The 27479-nt window shown below is 39.3% G+C and overlaps 1 pseudogene across 1 annotated transcript in view; it reads left to right on the top strand.

Moving 5' to 3' along the window:
• The window catches only part of SMG1P3 (SMG1 pseudogene 3), a 55599-nt pseudogene that overhangs the window by 10550 nt on the left and 17570 nt on the right, over window positions 1–27479 (top strand). The window contains exons 2-12 of the transcript NR_027155.2: window positions 7197–7360; window positions 7945–8100; window positions 12154–12290; window positions 13586–13641; window positions 14920–15133; window positions 18483–18608; window positions 18987–19059; window positions 19981–20078; window positions 21813–21985; window positions 24416–24640; window positions 26915–27016. The product of NR_027155.2 is annotated as an SMG1 pseudogene 3 (transcript). The remainder of the gene's footprint in view (window positions 1–7196; window positions 7361–7944; window positions 8101–12153; window positions 12291–13585; window positions 13642–14919; window positions 15134–18482; window positions 18609–18986; window positions 19060–19980; window positions 20079–21812; window positions 21986–24415; window positions 24641–26914; window positions 27017–27479) is intronic.

Below are 27479 nucleotides of genomic sequence, written 5' to 3'. Positions count from 1 at the left end.
TCGAGACCATCCTGGCTAACATGGTGAAACCCCGTCTCTACTAAAAATACAAAAAATTAGCCGGGCGTGGTGGTGGGCGCCTGTAGTCCCAGCTACTCGGGAGGCTGAGGCAGGAGAATGGCGTGAATCCGGGAGGCAGCGAGTCGAGATCACGCCACTGCACTTCAGCCTGGGCGACAGAGCGAGACTACATCTCAAAAAAAAAAAGACAAGACATACCTTGGAAAATGGGGGGAATAGACAGATGATTTCTATGGATAGGAGGTTTATTTGTTCCATTATGCGAAGATGATGGGAAGAAAAGCTGTATGTGCAGATGCAGGTGAATTTGTGGATATATTAGAAGGAAGATGACAGGCAGTGATGGAGTGTTGAAGAGCTCAAACATTAGACAGTACTGGGTCTGAGTTCTGACTCTGCCTTTTGCAAGCTGTGCAACCATAGGCCAGTTATGAAACCTTAGTTATCAAGTTATAACTAATAGGATTGTGTTGAACACGAAATGACATGATAAACATATGTAAACTGCTTGGATCAGTTGCCCACTAGCTCTTGTTAGGAGCTAAAATGTTAGCTCTTGCTGAGGGTGCTGTCAAATGGCTTCTGTTTCTCATGGAGCAGAAATCTATAAGGTCATCCACTGGTAGTGGTGGGAGAAGGAAAAAGGTGCAGAAAGTTTTACAGATGTTTTGGAAAGGAAAGAAACCTGGTGAGGGAAATGTGGGCAGCATCAGAGGCCCACTTGAAGTCAGAGAAAAGGAGCATTGGGGCATGGAGGTGAGGGGGTACTTTCTTCAGCTTTTCTCTGAAGACAATTGTGCATGTGAAACAAGGGTTAAAATCAGATCTATTGCCCTCCTGGATTTATTGGCTTCGTTTGCTCTTTCTGGCTAATTTGATTGGAGTTCTGAAAGTAGAGAATATTAGAGGTTCCTTGGAAGGAAAATAAGCAACACTGAAGTCAAATCTTTATCATGTTTGCTGGAAATGTTATTAAAAAACAAAATTTATGGCCGGGTGCAGTGGCTTATGCCTGTAATCCCAACCCTTTGGGAGGCTGAGGTGAGTGGATCACTTGAGCTCAGGAGTGCGAGACCAGCTTGGGCAACATTTTGGGAATGTTGTAGAGAATGGGACAAAAAAATACAAAAGTTGCTGGGCGTGGTGGAGTAAGCCTGTGGTCTCAACTACTTGGGAGGCTGATGTGGGAGGTTTGCTTGAGCTCGGATTGCACCACTGCACTCTAGCCTGGGCGACAGTGTGAGACCCTTTTTCAAAACAAACAAGCAACTTTTTTTGAGCTACAGTATATTTAATGGTTTTAAATATGAGTGCAGAGTAAGAGGGAGTCCAGTCCATAAGATGACCCTTGCTTCTAATACTAGTTGCAAGTTTGGGGGTTCCCAAGACCACTCTTTTTTTTTTTTGAGACAGGGCCTCTCTCTGTCACCCCGGTGAGAGTGCAGTGGCATGATCACGGCTCACTGCGCCCTGAACTCCTCCCTCCCAGGTTCAGGCAGTCCTCCTACCTCAGCCACCTGAGTTGCTGGATCTGTGGGCACACACCACCTCGCCTGGCTAGTTTTTCTATATTTTTTAGAGACAGTTTCACCATATTGCCAGGCTGGTCTCAAACTCCTGAGCTGAAGTGATCCGCCTGCCTGGGCCTCCCGAAGTGCTGGGATTACAGGCTTGAGTCACTGTGCCTGGCCAAGACCACTCTTAGGTTGGATGATTTGCCAGGAGGACTCACTAGAACTCATTGAAAGCTCTCATACCCGTGGTTAGAGTTTATTGCAGTTTAGGGATTCAGATTAGAACGAGCCAAGGGTAGAGGTGCATAGGGCAGAGTTCGGGGAAGTTCCAAATGTTGGAGTTTCTAATTGTCCTGTCCCTGTAGAGTTGTGAAAAATGACACCTTCCTGGTGGCACTGGTGTGCGACCATACTCATGGATTATTGCCAACCAGGGAAGCTCACTCTATTTTTTATGTCCAGCGTTTTTACTGGGGTTCCATGGTTGCATGCCCATGTGGCTAACCTTAGTCTCCAGCCCCACTGGAGGCCAAGCTGATCCATGTGACTCAAAGCCCCCACCATAAGCCACATTATTAGACTGTGCTGTGGCCTAAAGCCCCCAGATGAACAAGGACACTTTCCCCCACCGCCGCCCCCCCCCCTTTTTTTTTGGAGATAGTCTTGCTCTGTTGCCCAGGCTGGAGTGCAGTGGCATGATCTCAGCTCACTGAAACCTCAGCCTCCTGAGTAGCTGGGATTATTACAGGTGCCCGTCACCATGCCTGGCTAATTTTTGTATTTTTAGTAGAGACAGGTTTCACCATGCTGGCCAGGCTGGTCTCAGAATCCTGACCTCAAGCGATCTGCCCGCCTTGGCCTCCCAAAGTGCTGGGATTACAGGTGTGAGCCACTGCTCCTGGCCAGGACCCTCTTATTAGGTATGACATTTCAAGAGTTTAGAGATTACCTTCCAGAATTCACAGGTAAAAGCCAGACCTCTCCTTGGTGAAGATACAATTCTTTACAATTTTACAATAGTTAAATATATTTTATCAGTCTATATTGGCTGTTTAGTTGACAGACAGTTAAAAATTGGTGACAGTCCAGATGTGGTCACTCATGCTTCTAATCCTAGCATTTTGGGAGGCTGAGGTGGGAGGATTGCTTGAGTCCAGGAATTTGAGAGCAGCCTGAGCAACATAATCAGACACCTGTCTCCAAAAAACATAAAAATAAAAAATTAGCTAAATGGAGTGGCATGCACCTGTGGTCCCAGCTGTTTGAGAGGCTGAACCCATGAGGTCGAGGCTGCACCCATGAGGTCGAGGCTGCAGTGAGCTATGGTCATGCCAGTGCACTCCAGCCTGGGTGACAGAGTGAGACCCTGTCTCAAAAAAGGAAACAAATCACCCATAAATGGATAATTAAGATTTGGTTATTATAGACACTTAATACTTAGGTAGCTAAGGTAGTTTTACCAATAAATTATAGTAATTTAATATTTCAGTATTGCAAAACTGATGCATACTCATTTACAATTTTGACATGGAATGGTTCTGTTTTGTTTTATTAAATTTGAACTTAAAGTTCTCTGCAAGAAGAGATTTGTATAATAAATTCCCTGAGCCTCCCAAATTAATATTTTAGCCATAGACTCATATTTAGAGCAGTGTTTCTAATGTAATGATACAAGGCCCAGGGTTATTCATAGTTTCACCCTTTCTCTTATTCCTCATTAAAGCATGTTTGAATCCAGGTAAGAGGCATTACAGGGGAAAACCTTGAATTTATTTTTGAAGGGTAAATCATTTCCAAGTGGTATTAACCATTAGTATGGAAAGCAACATATCCTATAACTGCTCTGTGACAGTGAGACTATCTTTGCTGCTTTAGAGAATAAGTACATTCCTACTTCATTGGCTTTAGTGCAAATCTCATTTCCTGGTTTATATCCATTACAAATTAGATCTCACCATGAGAGCAAAATCCCTTAATAAACCTAGGTAAAAGCAATTTGAAGTAATATGATGCTTATTCCAGTGTCACCACTAGGTGTGGTGTTTGCATCAAGTCATTTTGGGGTGCTTTATGGAATTGCTTCCTAGTAGGGAATTCCCTGACTTCACACTTTCCAGAGACGACGCTCTCTCTCTTTTTCTCTCTAATACTTACAAGAATGGACTGCAAGGCTACATTTAGTCAGGCGATACCATCCCCAGCACATGGTGGCTTGTTGGTGTGAGGTCTAAGGATTCCGGTCATTTGAAACGAATGGCCTCCTAGATTTGTGGCATTTTTCTGTATATTGAGAATAGGTAACTAAAATAAGTGGTAACTATATTTGCATGTGATTTGTATGTTATAGTTAACATTTAAATTCTCTTATGTACTAAAATTTTTTTGGTTGCCACAGTAAGCCTCTTTATCCTGTAAGGCACAGAGTGTCTTTCCACCTCAATTTTTGCTTTAATGTATGAACCCTAATGGGACCATAGTTCAACTAAAGGCACCTAACTCATGAATGATATTTGCTCCATGTTTGAACAACAAATGTTTTAACCCACTGTCTTCACTAATATTGTAACTACTGTCTTACAGATTGACTTGATGCACAACATCACAAAGGCGATTTTTGAGGTATGAGCTTTAGAAACTTACCTCTCATGTGGCATGTACATCAGGCTTTAACTTCAGTTTGATCGTTTTGGGGAAATTTATGCATTTCTTTTTTTTTCTCTCCATGATATTTTTAGAATATTAAAGGGGCTGTAGAGGTATTTTTGGATCCTTGCTAGGATTCTTAGACTTAACAGATAGATTTTCTTTTTTCACTAAATTGAGACACTAATTCTGGCAGATGATATCCCTTTCAGCTCTTCTAACTAACTAGTCTTAACATTCATGCCTGCTTCTTGGAGTTCAAATCTGCAGTTTCTATTTTGTGGCTTTGATTGCCTCATTTTAAGTGCTCATTTCCCTTCTTTAACAGTTCTCTATTTATTGGACTGGGATGATCTTGTTGGTGCTAACAGCCTGACATTGACATTTTTTGAAACCAAAGCAGTCAAGATTGTATAAAAATAGAAATTTCTTATAAATGCTAAACCATTTTGTGCTTTTAGGTTCAGAATGCTTACAACCTGAGTTCTGGTTGGGGATGCTTTGATCAATTTGTATTAAAATAATTTGGCAACTAGGGAGTTTTGAGGTATTTCTGAGACGGTGGCTCTATTCCAGTTTTTTTTGTTATATTTCTGAAAACAGATTTTTTTTGGGAAAAAAATCTCAGTGTTCATAACTTAGGGGATTTAGAAACCTTATTTCTAACCAACGGGGAAGCTGCTCCTGGTTTTACAGTTTAGTTTGAAATCAGATGCTTCCTAGTTGGAAACACATTGTTGGTAGCAACAGATTACCTGCTTTCTTCAGTGAAGTATTTAAGTTGCTCTATATTGACTGTAAAAACTTGTTTTGATTATATTCATATACTCATGAACTGTTTGTACATTGTCTTTTAGACTGGAAACTTTGAGTTTATTTTGTATTATGGTCATAACAACTTTTAACATACCCTGCAAACTAAGTGTTTCTTTATAATTCATTATCTTATTTCAGCCTCACAACAACCTTACATGTTAGATAGGTATCATCCTCATTTTATGCAAGAGACAACCAAGGCTTGGAGATCAAGTAATTTGTGCAAAAGCACACATACTTTTCAGTGCTGGAGCTGGGATTTGAGCCCAGATCTTTTTTTAACTTGTATTCTCTGCTGCCTTATGGTACTACTGTGTCACCAGAAAATGATACAAACATTTAACTCTTAATAGTAAAGGTAGTGTAGGAGATAAGTAAACATGATGAAAACAGGAAGTGAAGATACGTTTAAATATTGGCAGACTTCAGTTATCTTTGTGTTTCTGAATTAGTCAAGTGCTTATTTTATTCGCTCATCTAATAAGAGCTTACTGTGGCATACATATAAAGTTCAAACCCTGTCAGAAAAGATTATAAGCTCTCTTAACGTTTCAGTCTCCTTTCAGAAAGTAATGGTATGCTATGATTTATATAGACGCATGTTAAGTGTGCTATTTTTAGGTACATAAGGAATGTCTTTTCATTAGTTTAAAAAAGTTATGGTCCATTGAGTTAATATTTTAATGCTTATAGACTTAGTATACTCAGAAAATATTCTCATACATTTTTCTTGAAATTCCATAGATTTTATTTTCCCTTATGTTCGAAGTACTTAGCTTTATGAATAAGTGAACTCTGAATATTAGAAGATACTCCTTATGGAGCCTTAGTCATTTTAGTATGCTAGGTTTTGAATTTCATGAAGTTTCAGATTGAGATCCTTTATAAGTAATGACTTGTACCAGTTAGATATCCAAGTTTAATTGGACCTATTGTCTGCATTCTGTATTAACAGTGATTGCAGTAAGTGCAGATCAAGGTGTCCAACTGATTGAGCTCATGCAAAGTTTTATGTTTAGTATTTTTGGGAGCAAGGAAAGACTAATAAACTCTAAACGAAATATATACAGTATACAAACACTGCTGTCACTTTTACACCATAGAGGGAGGGGCAAAGCGTAGAGGAATAGGTTAGTTTCTGGCCTTGCCAGTGTCCTAAACTTTTCTAAAAGATTCAGGTTCTAAAAGGTTGAGAAAGCATTTTTAGTAAATATCATAGAAGTGATTTTCTTTTTCTTTTTCTTTTTTTTTTTCCTCAAAATTGTTCCTCTCAGGAGAAAATCAGTAGGGGAAGAACTTACTTGGATTTTTCATATGCTATAACAGATTATTTTGTTGTCTTCTTTCTTGATAGTTTATGATTGATGGCTGAAAGAGTAACACTCATGAGAAGTCTTGTAACTCAGCTCTGTTTTACTTATGAGGCAGTTGAAGCATAGAGCAGATACTTAGATGAGGACACACTTTTACCCTTGGCTGTACCCTACTTGTTTACTAATAAGCATCAGGTATTATTCTAAACAGTACCTGAATTTTAAATAGATTACGAACTACAACTTTCTGATATAACTTTATTGCATTTCTGATACCTTTTATTTTCTTAAAATGTCTTCTTTTTTACTTTTTAAAATTTTGATTGCTACTCTTTACAATTAAGGCATCTTCAATGGGGTCTTCAATACTACAGTACCTAATCAGTACTTAGAAAATAACTTGGTAAGACATTGCCCGTCCCTGACATGCTGCCAGTGTTTTTTATTTTTATGACAGGAAAGGCTGAAATGTTTTGACTGATTAACCGTCTCCATGGGGGAGAATTTAGAAAGAATTATTCTTATTATCAAGTCATGTGAGGAGAACACTGGACCAGAGTAACCAATTGTCCTGTTTTGCCTGGGACAGGAGACTTTCAATGCTAAAACCAGCAAAGTCACCCTAATCCCAGTAGTTATTCATATTTCTGAATGGGTCTTTAGAACAGTAGAAGAGAGTGAAAAGTTGGCATTTCATCCATTGAGACTCTCTTCCCAGTGAAAGACTTCTTATTAGACGGCTGAGTGCTTACATATAATATATAGTGCATATTACACTAAATACAATAGTAATGGTTAAATGTAAAATTTGGGAGAAGAGAGGCTTGTTTAAAGAAAGATTTATTTATGTTATTTAAAGTTCTAATCTTAAACTTTTCTCTTTTTATAGAACTGATAGTGCATCAGCCGACCCAGGTAATTTAAAATATTCTTCATCCAGAGATAGAGGTGGTTCTTCCTCTTACGGACTGCAACCTTCAAATTCAGCTGTGGTGTCTCGGCAAAGGCACGATGATACCAGAGTCCACGCTGACATACAGAATGACGAAAAGGGTATATATATTTTCTTATTGCTACAAGCATGTTTTTTGAACCTACCTATCCCACCTTCCTGCCTTCTTACACCCCCAACTTTCTCACTTTCTTCTAATATATTTAAAATATGAATAACAAATGCAGTGTTATTTCTGAAAACTTCATAGGACGTTTATCCACTTTATTATTTTTAAAATTTAAAATTTTTCCATACATAATTCATCAATGCAGTTTTCTTACAAAAAAGATACAATACTATTTTTGTTTTTATTTTCAAAAATATTTAGCTAAGGTTGAAGTTCCTCTTGGCTACTGTCTCTAAACTTCAAGAAAGTTTTAAAACAAGGTGCAAAATTTGATTTAATTTAGTTTTCATTTCTTTGCTTATTTTCCAATGAAGGGATCAAAATAAAATTAATTTAACTTCAAAGGTGTATTAAAAGAAATGAAAATGATTTTCAAGGCAGACAGTACAGGAAAAAGGTAGGAGAAGCAAAGGCTGGTTGAGCTGCAGATTGAGTCATAAGATCCTGAGCTATCAGGAAATTGACTGAATGAAACGAACAATCATATTTAAATGACGTACACATGGCTGTTTGTAGGTGGCTACGGTGTCAATGGGGGATCTGGGGAAAATACTTATGGTCGGAAGTCATTGGGGCAAGAGCTGAGGGTTAACAATGTGACCAGCCCTGAGTTCACCAGTGTTCAGCATGGCAGTTGTGCTTTAGCCACCAAAGACATGAGGAAATCACAGGGTAAGGCTGGGAAAACGGGGACCAATCACATACACCTTCCAAAGACTTGTATCTCCTCTTATTCTGGATGCCTCTTACTAATGCCTTGCAAAGGCATAAGTTGATTAGTCTACTGTGCAGGTAAAAATTGTTTACATTCTTTTCCTGTGAATTGTTAATTTCCCACTAGAAAGGCTATAGTACATTTTAAAAGAGAATTCTCTTAAAACAAGATTAGAAGACTGGATAAGATCTTACAGAAAAGGTTTACCCAATTATCGTGGATATTGAATGTATAGTGCATAGTAGGCTCCTACTACAGCAAGTCCTTGAACTCTTGGGCCTGTGGAGGATATAGATATATGTAGAGAGGGGGTACTTTTCTGTCTTTTTTTTTTTTTTTCTCTCTTTTAAGTTCAGGGTACATGTGCAGGATGTACAGGTTTGTTATGTAGGTAAACGTGTGCCATGGTAGTTTGCTGCACAGATCATCTCATCATCTAGGTATTAAACCCAGCATCCATTAAGCTATTCTTGCTGATGCTCTCCTTCCCCCCGCCCCCTAGAGTGGGTACTTTTCTGGTTTTTTTGTTGTTGTTGTTTTCAATATATTTTTTTGAGACAGAGTCTTGCTCTGTCACCCAGGCTGGAGCGCAGTGCTGCAATCTCTGCTCACTGCAACCTCCGCCTCCCAGGTTCAAGTGATTCTCATGCCTCAGCCTCCCAAGTAGCTGGGATTACAGGTGCATACCACCATACCCAGCTGATTTTTGCATTTTTAGTGGAGACAGGGTTTCACCATGTTGGCCAGGCTGGTCTCGAACTCCTGACCTCAAGTGATCACACGTGCTCATTACAGGCGTGAGCCACCGGGCCCTGCCTTGAGTGGGCACTTTTCTAAAGTTAAATACACTGATAGCATTTCTGCCTTATGACATAGCCTCACTGTATAGGTGAGTGCCTTGGAAGTTCAGAGGATTGGCCGGGTGCAGCGGCTCACGCCTGTAATCCCAGCACTTTGGGAGGCCGAGACGGGCAGATCACGAGGTCAGGAGATCGAGACCATCCTGGCTAACACGGTGAAACCCTGTCTCTACTGAAAATACAAAAAATTAGCTGGGCGCGGTGGCGGGCGCCTGTAGTCCCAGCTACTCGGGAGGCTGAGGCAGGAGAATGGTGTGAACCCGGGAGGCAGAGCTTGCAGTGAGCTGAGTGCGCCACTGCACTCCAGCCTGGGCGACAGAGCGAGACTCCGTCTCAAAACAACAACAACAAAAAAGAAAGTTCAGAGGATTAGAGGTAATGATAATTTTTTTCCTTAAAGAGAAACTTATCGGTAAAGCTGAGTTATGGGCTTTGTCAGATGTAATTACTTTTTGGACGTTTAGTTTTTGACTTTTTTTTTTTATTTTTTATACTGTGTGTGTGCTTCGTGTATCTTGGTGAAAATCTTTGTGCCTGTAGCTTTTATTGTTGGTATATAACTTTTAAAAAACTGATTTCTTTTTATGTTTTCACAAGTGGAATGAATTCAAAGGCTATGTATGCTGTTTGTTAAAATAGAGTGTTTGAAGCCTTAGACTTATGATATTATAGAAGCTAAACAGCGACTCTAAAGTAGTTCAGTAGAGAATTCCTCTTCTTCAAAGGCTCAGGGTCATGTAGTTTGCTAGTGACAGAATTGTAAGTAGAGCCTAATTTCCCAGCTGGTAACTTGATGACATATTTGGTATCTGTCCTTATTGAAATACTCTATGGGCTACGGATTTGTAAAAATCCTATTCTTCTCTCAGTCATTGTAGTTTCTTTTTTTTTTTTAACTTAAATTCAGGATACAAGTGCAGATTTGTTACAGTGGTAAACTTGTGTCATGAGGGTTTGTAGTATAGATTATTTTATCACCCAGGTATTAAGCCTGGTACCCATTGGTTGTTTCTCTTGATCCTCTCCTTCCTCCCACCCCCCACCCTCCAAAAGGATCCAGTGTGTGTTGTTCCCCCTTGTAGTTATTTATTTATTTATGAGATGGAGTATCTCCCTGTCACCCAGGCTGGAGTGCAATGGCGCGATCTCAGGTCACTGCAGCCTCCACCTCCCAGATTAAAGTGATTCTCCTGCCTCAGCCTCCCGAGTAGCTGGGATTACAGGAGCGTGCCACCACGCCCGGCTAATTTTTTTTTTTTTTTTTTTTTTTTTTTTGAGACGGAGTCTCGCTCTGTCGCCCAGGCTGGAGTGCAGTGGCGGGATCTCGGCTCACTGCAAGCTCCGCCTCCCGGGTTCACGCCATTCTCCTGCCTCAGCCTCCCAAGTAGCTGGGACTACAGGCGCCCGCCACTACGCCCGGCTAATTTTTTGTATTTTTAGTAGAGACGGGGTTTCACCTTGTTAGCCAGGATGGTCTCGATCTCCTGACCTCGTGATCCGCCCGCCTCGGCCTCCCAAAGTGCTGGGATTACAGGCGTGAGCCACCGCGCCCGGCCCCGGCTAATTTTTTGTATCTTTAGTAGAGACGAGGTTCCACCATGTTGGCCAGGCAGGTCTCCAACTCCTGACCCCGTGATCTGCCCTCCTCGGCCTCCCAAAGTGCTGGGATTACAGGTGTGAGCCACCATGCCCAGCCTTCTGGTTTCTTTTATTATCAATTTTTTCTCATACCTTAGAAATGAAACTGTCAGACCCTTTGTGATTTGTTGTTTACGTATGTATTGGCTAATTATGGTAAATAGCACAGTTGAAAATGTTTTGCAAAAATTGAGTTTTTTGTTTTGTTTTGTTTTTTGAGACAGTCTCGCTCTGTCACCCAGGCTGGAATGCGCTAGTGTGATTTCACTGCAACCTTTGCTTCCCAGGCTAAAGCGATCCTCCCACCTCAGCCTCCTGAGTAGCTGGGATTACAGGCATGTGCCACTGTGCCCAGCTAATTTTTGTATTTTTCGTAGAGATGGGGTTGTACCATGTTGCCAAGGCTGGTCTCGAACTCCTGTGCTCAAGTGATCTGCCTGCCTTGGCCTTCCAAAGTGCTGGGTAATTACAGGCAAGAGCCACCTCGCCCAGCAAAAATCTAGTTTTTAAAGGCATCGTTAATATACTAATAGTATTCACTATTGTTTGCTTGTTCTTGTGATTAAAAAATAAAGGGAGAAAAGTTGTGGTTTGCTACCTTTCTAGTGGAGGCATGCCTTGCATGTGGTAGATGATAATTAGACATTTGTTGAACTAAATGTGTGATTATGGCTCCCCAAAACTTCATCCCAGGGAAATGATGATAATGTGAATAAGAGGCTTTCCTCCAGTGGGATACCTAGATGATAAGTAGAAGCCTATATCCTGTTTTTACTCGATTGAGACTTTATCCATACCCCTTGGAAGTTGTTTAATTTACCTACACCCGGGCTCTTTACCTGCATGTTGAAAACAGTTTGGAATGGACCCAAAGAAAGTTGTTACTAAGGCCTTTCTTTTTTCTCTCCCAGCCAGTCCTCTGGAATGAGGTGTTCAGTTGGCCTAGGGTTATTCATTTCTTGTTTCCTTCAGCAAATATTTTTTTGAGGGTCTGTTATGTGCCAGGCACTCTGCTGGGATTTGGAATACAGAGTTGAACAAAAGAGCGATAGGACCTATATTCCCTGAGCTTTTATTGACCAGTGGACTGTGACTTTTGATGTAATTTTATTTTTGAGAGAGGGTCTTGCTCTGTCACCCAGGCTGGAGTGCAATGGGGTGATCTTGGCTCACTGCAACCTCCGCCTCACGGGCTCCAGTGATTCTCCTGCCTCAGCCTCCCGAGTAGCTGGGACTACAGGTGCACCCCACCTTGGCTGGCTAGTTTATGTAATTTTTTGTGTGTCTGTGGAGACAGGGTTTCACCATGTTGCCCAGGGTGGTCTCAAACTCCTGAACTCATGTGATCTACCCGCCTTCCAAAGTACTGGGATTACAGGCATGAGCCCCCATAATAATTTAATTATTATTTAAATAATTTTTAATTTTAAAAATTTTAAAATTATTTTAAAATTTAAAATTTCCTTTGCTTATTTATACTCAGTGGACAACAAAATGTTTATATATTCACAGAGAGATCAATGTCTTATTGTGATGAGTCTCGACTGTCAAATCTTCTTCAGAGGATCACCCGGGAAAACGACCGAGACCGAAGATTGGCTACTGTAAAGCAGTTGAAAGAATTTATTCAGCAACCAGAAAATAAGCTGGTAAGTATAGTATGTTTGGAAATATGAGGATTTTTGTGTTTCCATAATAAACTAGGTAATGCTACCTTGAGTAGTTTAAGAATGGGGAAAGTCTGTATTATGATGATCAAGAACTTAATGCTCTCTAATATGTAATTTCTTTTTCTTCTTAAAGACAAGATCTTGCTCTGTCGCCCAGGCTGGAGTGCAGTGGCACAATCATAGCTCACTGCAGTCTCAAACTCCTGGATTCAAGCTATCCTCCCGCTGTGGCCTCCTGAGTAGCTGGGACTTCAGGCATGTGCCACTACACCTGGCTGAGGTGGAAGAATCACTTGAGCCCAGGAATTCAGGGTTGCAGTGAGATATGATCACACCTCTGCATGTCAACCTGGGCGACAGAGGGAGTCCTTGTCTCTTAAAACAACAACAGAAATGTAACAAAGTATAGGAAGGGTTAAATTTTTTTCTTCACTTTCTTTACACCAATTAAGAACTTGATATGGGCCAGGTGTGGTGGCTCATGCATGTAATCCCAGCATTTTGGGAGGCCAAGGTGGGTGGATCACCTGAGTTCAGGAGTTCGATACCAGCCTGCCCAACATAGTGAAGCCCCCATCTCTACTAAAAATACAAAATTAGCTGGGTGTGGTGGCACATGACCGTAATTCCAGCTACATGGGAGGCTGTGGCAGGAGAATCGCTTGAACCCAGGAGACGGAGGTTGCAGTGAGCTGAGATCACGCCATTGCACTCCAGCCTGGGCGAAAAGAGTGAAACTCCATCTTAAAAAAAAAAAAAGAACTTGACAATGAGCAGGAGAAAATTAATGAAAATGGTCTAGTGAGGCAGATGACACTTGGATCAAAGCAAGTTTCTCCTCCTTCCAAATTTTATTATGAGTAGTTTCAAATATATAGCAAGTTGAAAGAATTTGACATTGAATCTGTTAAACCCATCATCTAATTTTTGTCGTTAACATTTTACCCTAAATACTGCCTTGTCACATATCTCTCCATCTATCCCTCCATCCGTCAGTCAATTTTTCAAATGGATTTCAAAGTAAATGAAACAAGCTTTTTGAGTTTATTTTTTTGTTGATGATCACAGCTCTATGTTTCCAGTGGGTGAATTTCTTTCATAGGCTGAAAGGAAACATGACATTCCTGATACATGCTCATTGGGGAGTGGGAATAATAAAGAAAGTAAAGTACTGTTGAATTAGAATTTGGAGGGAAGACAAATAAAAAAGTACACAATGCTATTCTTAAAAGTATAGGAATTTGAAGTTTTTATAAATGTGTTTTCTTTTAAAGGTACTAGTTAAACAATTGGATATCTTGGCTGCTGTACATGATGTGCTTAATGAAAGGTAAGTAACTAATAATGGTTCGGTTTAAATGACTTTAAAATATATTTTTAGAAATTACTTAACAATACACAAGAAGACAAACCCACTGGCTTTGTTTATGAACATTTATTGACATTACAGTGGGTCTTGTCATTTTTATCTGCATTAATTATGTGTTAATTACGGTTGAATACAAATGGAATCCACTTGAAAAGAATATTTATTTTTTGAGCCGGAGTCTCACCCTGTCGCTCAGGCTGGAGTGCAGTGGTGCGATCTCAGCTCACTGCAACCTCCACCTCCCGGGTTCAAGTGATTCTCCTGCCTCAGCCTCCCGAGTAGCTGGGACTACAGGCGTGCACCACAACTGCCAGCTAATTTTTGTATTTTTAGTAGAGACAGGGTTTCACCATGTTGGCCAGGCTGGTCTGGAACTCCTGACCTCAGGTGATCCACCCACCTTAGCCTTCCAAAGTGTTGGGATTACAGGCATGAGCCACCGTGCCTGGCTGGAATATTTTATTTTTTTAATTTGCTAGTCTCACTGGATAACTGAGTCTTGACTTATGGAATGGCATAAACTCTTGATGCAGGCATGAAGAATAAAATTAGTTTTTGTAAACAAGAGAATTTGAAACTGCTTAGAGAATAGAGGTAAAAAGGAATTTCCTTCTTTGGGTAAGAGTGGATCCAAACCATATATTCTCTGGCTATTAGAGTCTCCAGAGGTGTGTGGTCATTTTTTGTTATGGTGATTCCCAAAGATTTGCAGTGTTGGCAAGTACCCAAAATTTATCTCAGCTGGTCATAAACCTTAGTGCCTTTTGATGGTTTTGTTTTATAGAGTTACTTATTAAAGTTCTATGTAAATCATTACTGTTATCCTTTTAAGTTTCTGTATTTAACTATTACCATTTTTTATTTTATAGTCATTACATATTGGATATTATGTAGAATGTAGTTATGTATAGAGTGTTTTATCTACTTATTTGTTGCTGCCCTTTTCTGAGAGTTATTTAATACAGTTTGAGATGGAATTTAGCATTTTTGGGCCTTCCCTCACTGTTTGTAAATAATTGATTTTGTAAAAAGAAAGTGATGTCAGACAGATACTTGAGGGCAATGCAGGCTAGACAGAATGTAGTATTTAGAGTGGAGAAAATTTCAACCTTTTATGTAGTTTGAATAGAAATTTAAAAAACCACTTAAGACATTCTTTTGTAAGATGTATTACTCGTGTCATCATAGAAAACTTAAGCCTTTTGTGTGTGTTTTTTGTTTGCATTAAAATAAACACAGTAGCAAATTGCTTCAGGAGTTGAGACAGGAGGGAGCTTGCTGTCTCGGCCTTCTTTGTGCTTCTCTGAGCTATGAGGCTGAGAAGATCTTCAAGTGGATTTTTAGCAAATTTAGCTCATCTGCAAAAGATGAAGTTAAACTCCTCTACTTATGTGCCACCTACAAAGCACTAGAGACTGTAGGAGAAAAGAAAGCCTTTTCATCTGTAATGCAGGTAAGAATGAAGGGGGAAAAAATGCATGATATACTTGGGAAGAAAATTGTCCCTTTAACACATGTCCTTGGAGGGGAGCTTGAAGAAGGGAATCATAGAATAGGGGTTATCTACTGATAGGAAATATGTTTTAAAAATTCCTCTTTCTCAGTTTGAGTAAAGGATACACTGTTCAAGGATCAGTGCTACATACATATATGCATATATGTGGAGAGAGAGGGAGAGATTTCTTCTAAAAAATTGGCTTACACGCCAGGCGTGGTGGCTCACGCCTGTAATCCCAGCACTTTGGGAGGCTGAGGCAGGCGGATCATGAGGTCAAGAGATCGAAACCATCCTGGCCAACATGGTGAAACCCCGTCTCTACTAACAATACAAAAATTAGCCGAGCGTGGTGGCACGCGCCTGTAGTCCCAGCTACTCAGGAGGCTGAGGCAGGAGAATGGCTTGAACCTGGGAGGCCGAGGTTGCAGTGAGCCGAGATCGCACCATTGCCTGGGAGACAGAGCCAGACTCTGTCTCAAAAAAAAAAAAAAAAAAAAAAAGATTTTTTTCCCCTTTGGTTTTTAGAAATGTTTTTTTTGAGATTGCTTAGGACCAGAATTTGCAAAGTTGAAAATAGGAACTCCACTAGTAATGCCGGATAGAAGAGTGCTTCACATTTGTAGAGGGAGACAAGAACTAAATATCACAACTTCTTTCTGAGCCTTTTGGTTTGCTAACGTGCCCCAAATTCTTATTCCAAATGGTATAAGATAATTATGTGTAAATGAATACCGGCTCTACTTAGTTGTATTTCATATTTGTGTATCTGAATATATTAAAATATCATTCTTTTTTTTTTTTTTATGCAGTGTCTTGCTCTGTTGTCCAGCCTGGAGTGCAGTGGCATAATCTCGGCTCACTGCAACCTCTGCCTCCCAGGTTCAAGTGATTCTCCTGCCTCAGCCTCCCGAGTAGCTGGTATTGCAGGAGTGTGCCATTAGCCTGGCTAATTTTTGTATTTTTAGTAGAGATGGGGTTTCATTGTGTTGGCCATGCTGGTCTTCAACTCCTGACCTCAAGTGATCCTCCTGCCTCGGCCTCCCAAAGTACTGTGATTAGTGTCATGAGTCACCACACCTGGCCTAAAAGATCATTGATTTAGTTTTGAGTAAGATTTTAAGTGATTAAATTATGGTATTGTTGTGTTTGGAATATCTGATATTAGGGTTTTTTTTTTTTTTTTTTTTTTTTTTTTTTACAGTTTTTGATATGCTTTATTTTGGGTATGTAGTTTAAAAAATATAAAGGAAATATAAGGAATATTCTTTTTTTTTTTTTTTAATAAAAAATGTATTTTTAACTGGGCATGGTGGCTCACTCCTGTAACCCCAGCACTGTGGGAGGCTGAGGCTGGTGAATTGCCTGAGTCCAGGAGTTTGAGACCAGCCTGAGCAACATGGTGAAACCCTGTTTCTATCAAACAAAAAAAAAAAAAAAAGGAAAAAAAATAAGTTGGGCATGGTGGCATGCACCTGTAATCGCAGCTACTTGGAGGCTGAGGCAGGAGGATCGCTTGTGCCTGGGAGGTTGAAGCTACAGTGAGCTATGGTCAAGCTACTGCACTCCATTATAGGCAACCCTGTCTCAAAAAAGCAAAACAAAATGAAACATTTTCCCCTTGATTATAGAGGTTTGAGAAAAATTTGAGGGAAGATTCAGAAAATTACCTGTAACTGAACAGAATGCCACCAGCTTGGGCTTATTCTGCATGCATAATTATGAACATTTTCCCAGCTCTTGTGAAAATTCTCACATTCATAGAAAGATAGATGCACCAGTAAAATAAATACCTGTAAATACGATAATAATTTCACAATATATGCTTCACCTAGATTTACCAGTTACTAATATTTTGCCACAGTTTTATTTTCTCACACACTTTTGTTGAGCATCTGAAAACCATACACATGATGACAGTTCACCCCATAATGTTTTAGTATGCATCTCCCAAGAATAAGGTTTTTCTTCTGTATAACAAGAATATTGTAATCATACCTAAGAAAATGAATTTTATTACATATGTGTTCTATATTCAAATTTCTGTAATTACCCCAAGATGTCTTTTAAATGATTTTTAGCATTGATAGTCTGTGCCTGTGTAGATTATAACATTGGCTATTGCAAAATAATGGTTTTCTTTTTCTCTTTTTTTTTTTTTGAGACGTAATCTTGCTCTGTTGTCCAAGCTGGAGGGCAGTGGCACGATCTCGGCTCACTGCAACCTCCGCCTCCCAGGTTCAAGCAGTTCTCTTGCTTCAGCCTCCTGAGTAGCTGGGATTACAGGCATGTGCCACTGTGCTCTGCTAATTTTTATATTTTTAGTAGAGACGGAGTTTCATCATGCTGGCCAGGCTGGTCTTGAACTCCTGACCTCAGGTGATCCACCTGCCTCGTCCTCCCAAAGTGCTGGGGTTACAGGTGTGAGCCACTGCACCCAGCCTAAAATGATGGTTTTCTGATTCTAGCATTTCTTTGATAAGATTGCTATGTAAAGCACAGCTTTTCCTTTTTTAGGGAAAAATGTTTTTTAACAGCTGCAAAATAAATATTCTTTCAATGGAATGACAAATAGTTATTTATTATTTTATTTTTGCCATATATTTATTTTAAAAATTTATGTATAATGGTAACCTGAGCCTGCATGTTATTCATGTGTGGTGCCATACTGATCTTCCTTAATTTTAATATGAAGCAAGTACTAATATACTAAAGCATAAATTATATAAAATTTGCTTTATATTTTGGATTGCAAAGTAATTGTTGTACTTTATAGAAAAGTTTCCCAAATCCATTTTACTTTTTTGTATTTGAAATTTAATCACAGGTAGAATCTTAAAGAGAGCATTTAGGGATATTGTAAACAGATGTTATTAAGGACTAATGTTAACTGATGTCAAAGGACTAATATTAACAAACATTGAAGAAGAGAAAACAGTATCTGTTTTTAGCTTAACAGCTTAGTGGAGCGAAATATTTTCAGTTTATTTATTTTATTTATTTATTAATTTTTTTTTTTTTTTTTGAGATGGAGTCTGGCTGTATTTCCCAGGCTGGAGTGCAGCGGTGCAATCTCAGCTCACTGCAACCTCTGCCTCCTGGGTTCAAGCAATTCTTGTGTCTCAGCCTCCCAAGCAGTTGGGATTTACAAGTCAATTCTTTTTTTTTTTAACTAAAACTACAGAATCTATTTTTCTTGGTCTCATACTCAGGTTTTTATGTAGGCACTTCGTAAATAATGAACCTAATTTGCTTGTTTTCTCCCTATTTTGTTGAATGTTCACGGTTTGTAACTTTTATTTTTAAGCTTGTAATGACCAGCCTGCAGTCAATTCTTGAAAATGTGGATACACCAGAATTGCTTTGCAAATGTGTTAAGTGCATTCTTTTGGTGGCTCGATGTTACCCTCATATTTTCAGCACTAATTTTAGGGTGAGTTCCTCATTCCGCTGTTCAGATCATGGGGTGAGGGGGATGGTTGTGTGTGTGAGGAACTGAGGAATCAGATGGAAAACAGTGCCTCTGCTCCTTTGAATATAATCAGTGATATTTGAGGTTCCAGGGTTAAATGCCGCATTTTTCTTTCTGACGTTCGTACCTTAAAATATTTGAAGAAAATAAACTATTTCATTGTTGTCAGAAATGTAGTTCTTTTATTTTCCTGCCCCTCTCCCCTTTCTAAGTTTCTAGAATGTCAAGTAGGTAGAACATAGATGCTCCTTTTAGGATCTTTTGCTGTGAAATGGTCCACAGGTGGATTGCAGTAATATCTTAAAATGATTGGCCCCCTCTCTCTTTGTTTCCATCAAGGATACAGTTGGTATATTAGTTGGATGGCATAGAGATCATACTCAGAAACCTTCGCTCACGCAGCAGGTATCTGGTAAGTCTTGCAGCCTATACCAGTTATTTAAATACTGTCGGGGAGGAGCAGTGGTCCCCCAGTGACCATCTATCAATACCATTTCTTTAATAATGCAAGAAAACTAATTCAGAGAAATGTTTTATTGTAAATGAACATGACTTGTTAGCTAAATATATATTTTCAGAGGAAATTACTAGTAGGTGGGTAGAGTAAGTACAGACAGGACTTACCCAAGTTATTTGTAGTTTGTACTGGTAGGAAAGTATATGGTAAGAATATATTGCAGTGGCAATACCCTGAAGTGGACAATGGAAGATCCAAGTTATTTGTCACATTTTATTGTTTTTCTGGTTATTTTTTTAAAAAAGGAAATATAGGGTTAATTTGGAGAATTGTCATAAATGAGAAGTGGTTTTGTTTCCCACTTTTTTGGAGTTAAGTGAATGACTAGCGTGGCTCATTTGCACATTTCAGCTTGTTTCAAGTGTCATAGTTTCTCGTAACTTACTTGGTGTAATAAACTTTTGAAAATAAGATATTCAGGTGATAGTGGTCTGTTTCATTTTCACTGAGGAGATGAGTATACACCTTTAATGGTTAGATGTGGCCCTGGGATTAGCCGGGCCAATGGTAGATTGTGGCATTTTAGTCTTAAGTCATGTGTAGTGACAATATAGATATGAAATTTACTGAAAAAGTAAGGAAATAACATTTACCTGTTAATTTCTGCAGAAATTAAGGAGGTATTAATTAAAGAGGTATTGGTTAATCGTGATCAGCATGTTTAGCAGTCTTAATTTTATGATATAGGACATGTTTTAGGGTATGCTGCTTGAAAACCAGATACTTTTTAAAAGAAGCCTCTTATTTTTTTTAATTTGGATTTTTTGGTGTTTTTTCTCCCCCCTACCCTTTCACAATTTCTTACGCGATTCCAAGGGTGGTTGCAGAGTTTGGAGCCATTTTGGGTAGCTGATCTTGCATTTTCTACGCCTCTACTTGGTCAGTTTCTAGAAGACATGGAAGCATATGCTGAGGTGAGTATATAGAAAGCTGTTTCTTAAAATTTTGGTTAAGAAAAAATCTTAAATTGTGCTAGATTTATTTTAAAATGGCTCAGACCTCCTGACATTTAAGCAGAAATTACAAGCCCATTGCAATATTTTGAAAAATTTTTTCTTTTTGAGACGGAGTCTCGCTCTGTCACTCAGGCTGGAGTGCAATGGCACGATCTCAGCTCACTGCAACCTCCACCTCCTGGGTTCAAATGATTCTCCTGCCTCAGCCTCCCGAGTAGCTGGAATTACAGGTGCCCGCCACTACGCCCAGCTAATTTTTGTATTTTTAGTAGAGACGGGGTTTCACCATGTTGGCCAGGCTGGTCTCAAACTCCTGACCACTGGTGATCCAGCCGCGTCGGCCTCCCAAAGTGCTGGGATTATAGGCATGAGCCCCCGTGCCCAGTCAGTATTTTAAACATTTATTTCAGATGTGTTTAAGTTACCAGGAGAATTACTGGAGAGACTAAAAGAAACGTTGCAAGCTTCGTATTTCGCAAAGCTTTACATACTCTCGGTAGCTGGTATTTTTCTAAAGACATATTTTGTTATTTATTTTTATTTTTTGTTCCCAGTCTTCAGAGTCTTAAAGCAAATTGATGTTGTGTTATAAAAAAACACAAAACACCAAAAGCTCCTAAAGATTTTCCTCTTACATATGTACAGGAGATCTTGAATCGTACTTTGGAGGACAAGCCTTGGCTTCAGCCAGCTTTTGTGGCTGTACGAATATAGCATAGGAGCTTTAAGAGCGCTGCTGAAGCCTCTGTTACTGGTACTTGGCTTTTCTGGCCCCACTGTCATGGCTTAACTCTGTGCCATCTCTTATCTGAATCTCTTTGTGTTTCTCCCCTATTCAGATCAACCAGTCAAGGCTCCCATAAAGATTTTGGCCTCATCTTGTTTTTTTCATCTTTGCTGCTTGTAGTCAACAGGAATTCAGTACCTTTAGCTGTACTGATGTGTTTACTCTTTCCTAGAAAAGCAAGGAAATGTTTTGCTTCTGCGTTGTTTTTTCTTTGCCCCCACACCTAGAATGTCTTTTTTCACAGCCCACGTTTAAAGCTGATCTACCTCTCATAAGCCACACATTCTAGTTTGTAGAGATGCTTCCCCTTGTTATCCTTAAGATCTCATTCTCTTCTGTTATTTTGGTGCTTAATTTTAGGTAGATGTATACATTGGTTCTGGTATCCTAGTTTTTGCGAATCTTGTCCTTTTCATATATCGTACTTCTTCAGTTACACATCTGTAGACCAGGTCTTGTAATCTCCCTTTGCTCTTCATGTGCATGCTCTTGGTTTGGAGGACTTACTGTTGAGCTGAGTGGCTCAAAGAATACCTAGAATGAGATTTTTAGCCAAAAACTAATTCAGGAGTGGCAAAAGCTTCCGTCTTCATTTATACCTACATATAACTAGAGCATATGTGCTAGAATTTATTTTTCCCCAACAGCTTTCTGAGTTGATTTAAGAGATTATTTCCTTAATTTGTTGTCTATTGGGTTTAATGTTGGCTTTTTGAAATAATTAGGTAAAACCCATTTTTATATTCAGAGTCATGAATATTCTCATGGGCCACAGTTCTCTTTCTAAAAGCCTAAAAATCTATTCTAAAATGAATTGATTGAAATATTTTAGAGTTTTTTTTTTTTTTGTTTTGTTTTTTTAAACAATGTACTACTTATTAAGAATGCTGTGAATTCACATCTAGGACCTCAGCCATGTGGCCTCTGGGGAATCAGTGGATGAAGACGTCCCTCCTCCATCAGTGTCATTACCAAAGCTGGCTGCGCTTCTCCGGGTATTTAGTACTGTGGTGAGGAGCACTGGGGAAAGCCTCAGCCCAATTCGGGCCCTCCAATTACTGAGGCATACGTAACAGATGTAAGTGCTTTTGGGCATTTGAAGTGTCATTCAAAAATAAAATTGTTTTACATTGTAAATGCTTCTCTTTACCAGGTGAACTGTTATTAATCCTTCATTTGTTTAGCATGTATGTATGTATGTATATATGTATATATTGTCTGACTGCTTTCTTAAACAACCAGAAAAGCAGGGAATCCTGTTATAGCTCATCCTCCTTTCATCCAACTCCCCTACCCTCCCATGACAAAAGGCCACTCTGAATTTTTAAATCTCATTCTTTCATTTTTAAATAATATTTCTTATAATTTTACTTTTAAATTATTGGGTTTCCTTTTAGTTTTTCAACATATTACGAATAGCACACTATAGGAGAAGCCTCAGAAAGTAATCTTCTCTGAGCATAAGATGGAACTCATATGAAAACTTGTGTATCTTTATATTCTTTGATAGCCTGATATCAAAGAACATAAACAAATTAAAAATGAGGTAGCTAGATTGCCACACTTCAGCAGCCTCAGACATTAGCTGCACTGTATATAGCACATCCAGTGAGGGTTCAGTGGAAAAGACACAAGAAATGAACCCCAGGCATTGTACTCTGCTTTGAATAAGGAGAAAGAAGCATGTGTGATACCGTCATAAAAAATTTAATCTAACTGATGAAAATTTTACCGTTAGGATAAAACTTGCTTTTAGGAGCATATACTTTTGCTGAACATGTTGCTAAATAAAATAGGATACTGATTATATAGTAAGTTGTGTACTTGAGCAGAAATGTCAGAACTTAAAGATAAATGAAACCAGCATATCGGTATTTTAAACCAATATGGTTTCAAAATGGTTTAATATCTTTGCTTCATTTTTAATGTCTAAAAGGTGGTTGTTTGAAGACTGTACAGAGTTGAAATAAAAAGCCGTTAATTCAGACATAAAATAAAGGGGACATAATTTATAGGATAGGTGTATATTGATTTATGAGGATCTTTTAGGCCTTTGAGAATGGTAGAATGGTGGGGTTTTTATTTTTTTTATTTATTTTTGGAGCTGGAACCTCACTCTGTCACCCAGGCTGGAGTGTAGTAGTTCAATCATAGCTCACTGTAGTCTTGAACTCTTGGGCCCAGGTGAACTTCCCACCTCACTCAGCCCTACAAGCGGGTGTCACCATACCCAGCTTTTTTTTTTTTTTCCTTTTTAAAGTGGGGTGGTGCCATCACGACTCAGTGCAGCCTCTATCTCTTGGGCTCAAGTGATCCTCCCAGCATAGCTCCTGCTAATTTTTTATTTTTGTAGAGATGGGGTCTCAGTGTTTCCCAGGCTGGTCTTGAACTTTTGGCCTCAAGCAGTCTTCCCACCTCAGCCTCCCAAAGTGTTGGGATTATAGACATGAGCCACTGTGCATGCATGGCCAAGAATGCTTCCCCCTCCGCCCTCTCCCCCCCACTCTTTTTTTTTTGGAGACATGGTCTCTGTTGCCCAGGCTGGAGTGCAGTGGCACGATCTTGGCTCACTGCAGCCTTGACCTCCCAGGCTTAAGTGATCCTCCCACCTCAGCCTCTCAAGTAGTTGGTGGGACTACTGGTGTGAGCCACCACACCCAACTAATTTAGAAACAAATTTGGTAGAGATGAGGTGTTGTTATGTTGACATGGCTGGTCTCAAACTCCTGGACTCAAGAGAACCTTCCAGCTAATCCTCTCAAAGTGCTAGGATGATAGATGTGAGTCACTATGCCCAACCTCTAAGGATACTTTTAATGAAAACTATGGGTAGACTAAATAAAATCCTGTATGTATTGGTTGTTAAATATTATAGAAATATTTTTTAACATTTGCTCTGTTTTCTCCCCTATTTTATTAGAAATTTAGTACACAATTATTGGCCATTATAGTTAAGTGGGGGATTTTGTGTGTGTGTGTATTGGAAATAATATGATTTTTGAAGATATTATGTGGCAAGCATGAGAGTGCTTATCTTTCAAAAGAGACCATCAGTAGATAGAAACTTTAATAAGCTTAAAGTGACTTGTATGTTCAGTTTTGAAAGATTGATTCCCAAAAGCCCAAGAGCTAGCTTGTAGTATGTGTGGGCAGGCTATTCCCATGCTGTCAATACCATTACTGTCGTGGTGTATTTCATGATAAAGATTCTGAGCTTCAGCCATTTAGTGACATTGGGAGAAACGAAGTTGGGTATGTGGGAAATAGAGGATGGCAGCTTCCATTTCCTGTCATAGTAGCACTTTAGGATTTTTTAGCCAAGATCATGTTTACATATTGTAGTAAAGGCATCATTATTATTCAGCTACTGAGAACTAGAATATTAAGAGACTGCTGGCAAGGCAAGCAGTTAATTTTCAGTTGAAATTGCATTAAATAGAAAGTATTTTCTTGCTTTGTGGAAGCACGTGAATTTTTTTAAAAAGCTGCTGGTTTTCCCCATTTACAGGTTCTGTACAGAGTAATGAGATGTGTGACGGCTGCAAACCAGGTGTTTTTTTCTGAGGCTGTGTTGACAGCTGCTAATGAGCGTGTTGGTGTTTTGCTCGGCAGCTTGGATCCTAGCATGACTATACATTGTGACATGGTCATTACATATGGATTAGACCAACTGGAGAATTGCCAGACTTGTGGTACCGATTATATCATCTCAGTCTTGAATTTACTCACGCTGGTATGTGAATTATTCTTTTCCTTTTTAATGTGTTGGTTTATTCAGGCCCTTAAATGGATATGTAAGAAATTAAGGGCTTTGTCTGGGTATGGTGGCTCATGCTTGTAATCCCAGCGCTTTGGGAGGCCAAAGCAGAAGGGTTGCTTGCATCCAGGAATTCTGGCACAGCTTGGGCAATGTAGTGAGACCCCATCTGTACAAAAAGTCAAAAATTAGCTTGGTGTAGTGGTGTGCACCTGCAGTCCTAGCTACTCGGGAGGCTGATGGAGGAGGATCGATTAAGCCCAGGAACTTGAGGTTGAAGTGAGCTCTGATTGTGCCACTGCACTCAGCCAAGGTGACAAAAAAGGACCTGTCTCCAAAAAAGAAAAAAAATAAGGGCTTTGCTTTATTATATAATTTTTTTAGAGTACATTCATCAGTCTTATAATCTGTGCTTTCATTTTAGTGTCTATTTACTTTTATTTTTAATGCAATTTTTTTTTTGAGACAGGGTCTCACTCCGTTGCACAGGATGAAGTGCAGTGGCATGATTTTGGCTCACTGTAGCCTTGACCTCTTGGGTTCAGGTGATCCTCCCACCTCAGCCCCCCAGGTAGCTAGGACTACAGGCGTGCACCACCACACCTGGCTAATTTTTTATATTATTTTGTAGAGATGGAGTTTTGCCATGTTGCCCAGGCTGGTCTTGAATTCTTGGGCTCAAGCAATCCACCTGCCTTGGCCTCCCAAAGTACTGGGATTATAGGCATGAGCCACTCTGCCAGGCCTCTATTTTTAGTGGTTGATAGCTAGTCTCATTGTAGCTTTACTCGTTTTTTCTGAGGAAACATTGCTCTACGCACCAGATTCTTTCTTTTTTTCTTTTCTTTTCTTTCTTTTTTTTTTGGTCACAGGATCTTGCTGTATTCCCCTGGCTGGAGTGCAGCGGTACAATCAGAGCTCACTGCAGCCTCAAACTCCTGGGCTCAAGTGATCCTCCCACTCAGCCTCCCGACTATCTGGGACTACAGATGCATGCCACCATGCCTGGCTAACCTTTATATTTTTTGGAGAGAAGGGGTCTCGCTACATTGTCTAGGCTGGCCTTAAATTCTTGGTCTCAAGTAATCCTCCTGCCTTGCCCTCCCAAAGTGCTGGGATTACAGGTGTGAGCAATCATGCCTGGCCTCCTTTAATTTTTTTTTTTTTTTTTTTTTTTTTTTTTTGAGACGGAGTCTCGCTCTTTTGCCCAGGCTGGAGTGCAGTGGCACAATTGTATTTTTAGTAGAGACGGGGTTTCACCATGTTAGCCAGGATGGTCTCGATCTCCTGACCTCGTGATCTGCCTGCCTTGGCCTCCCAAAGTGCTGGGATTACAGGCGTGAGCCACCGCGCCCGGCCGGCCTCCTTTAATTTCTTAACCATAAATATCCTCCCCCCACTTTTATTATGGACGTTCTGAAGCACATAAAAATAGGGAGCATAGTATAATAAATTTGTACATATTTAACACTCAGCTTCTATAATTAGAAACAAATGGCCCATCTGGTTTCATCTAGGCCTCTTTGCTATCCTTTCATCTCCAACTGGATTATTTTAAAGCAAATTCTAGATGACATTCTGCTGAGCATTTCTGCCAGAATTACACCTCTCTTTGCTAATGTGAAAAAATGCCCATGATAACTGTAAAATACGTGTGTCCTATTTAGGTGTCTAAACACTTTAATGTCACAGTATTAAGGCCTTAAAATATAGCTTAGATATATTTTTCTAAATTAAAAGACTTCATTTTTTAGATATACAGAAAATTGAGCAGAAAACAGTGAGTTCCCATATACCTTCTTCATCCCAACAGTTTCCCCCTCATTAACATATTGTGTTAGTGTGGTACATTTATTACAAAGGAGTGAATATTGATATATTATTATTAACTAATTTTATAGTTTACTTTGTGTTATGTATTCTATGGACTTTAACATGTGTAATGACATGTTTCCCCTATTACCAGTATCATACAGGATAGTTTCACTTCCCTAAAAATCTTTTATGTTCTACCCACTCCTTCCTCGTTCCCTCTCCCCACTCCTCCCTCCCCCCATCTTAAGCCCATGGCAACCCCTGATCTTTTTACTGTCTCCATCGTTTTGCCTTTTCCAGAATGCCATGTAGTTGGAGTCATATAGTATGTAGCCTTTTCAGTTGGCTTCTTTCACTTACCAGTGTGCCTTTAAGGTTTCTCCATGTCTTTTTGTAATTTGAGAAGCTCATTTTTTAAAAATTTTATTCTTTTAGATTGTTGAACAGATAAATACGAAACTGCCATCATCATTTGTAGAAAAACTGTTTATACCATCATCTAAACTACTATTCTTGCGTTATCATAAAGAAAAAGAGGTAAGTAATACACTGATAATGAATTTTGACAACTTGAGTCACTGAAGAGTTGGACCTAATGTTGCTTACCCCAGGCTATATAAGTGAAATTGAGTGAAATGTGAAATGTTTGATTTAGAATATAGTGATTGTATTTGTTCTTTTAAATTTATATTTCTTGATAATCATACTGAATACTTTCATGAATGGTGTGCCAGATACTCTTTTCAGACTATGCATCTTTTGCTGTTATTAAATTTATTAAATTTTCATAAGGGTAAAACAAGTTGACACATTTATAAAGTTATAAATTAAGAAGTACTGTATATTTGGTAAACAAAAATGACTGGCTTTTCAACCACCCCCTAGTCAAATCCACCACAGACTTTCCTGGTAGATTTAAGAAACCCAGTCTTAAACTGCTGTTTGCATATGTCTTTTGATGTTGATTATTAAAAAAAAAAAACAAAAACGGCCATTTTGG

This window comes from Homo sapiens, chromosome 16, assembly GCF_000001405.40.
Source record: "Homo sapiens chromosome 16, GRCh38.p14 Primary Assembly".
Classification (NCBI taxonomy): Eukaryota; Metazoa; Chordata; class Mammalia; order Primates; family Hominidae; genus Homo; species Homo sapiens.
This window is presented reverse-complemented; position numbering and strand designations above follow the sequence as displayed.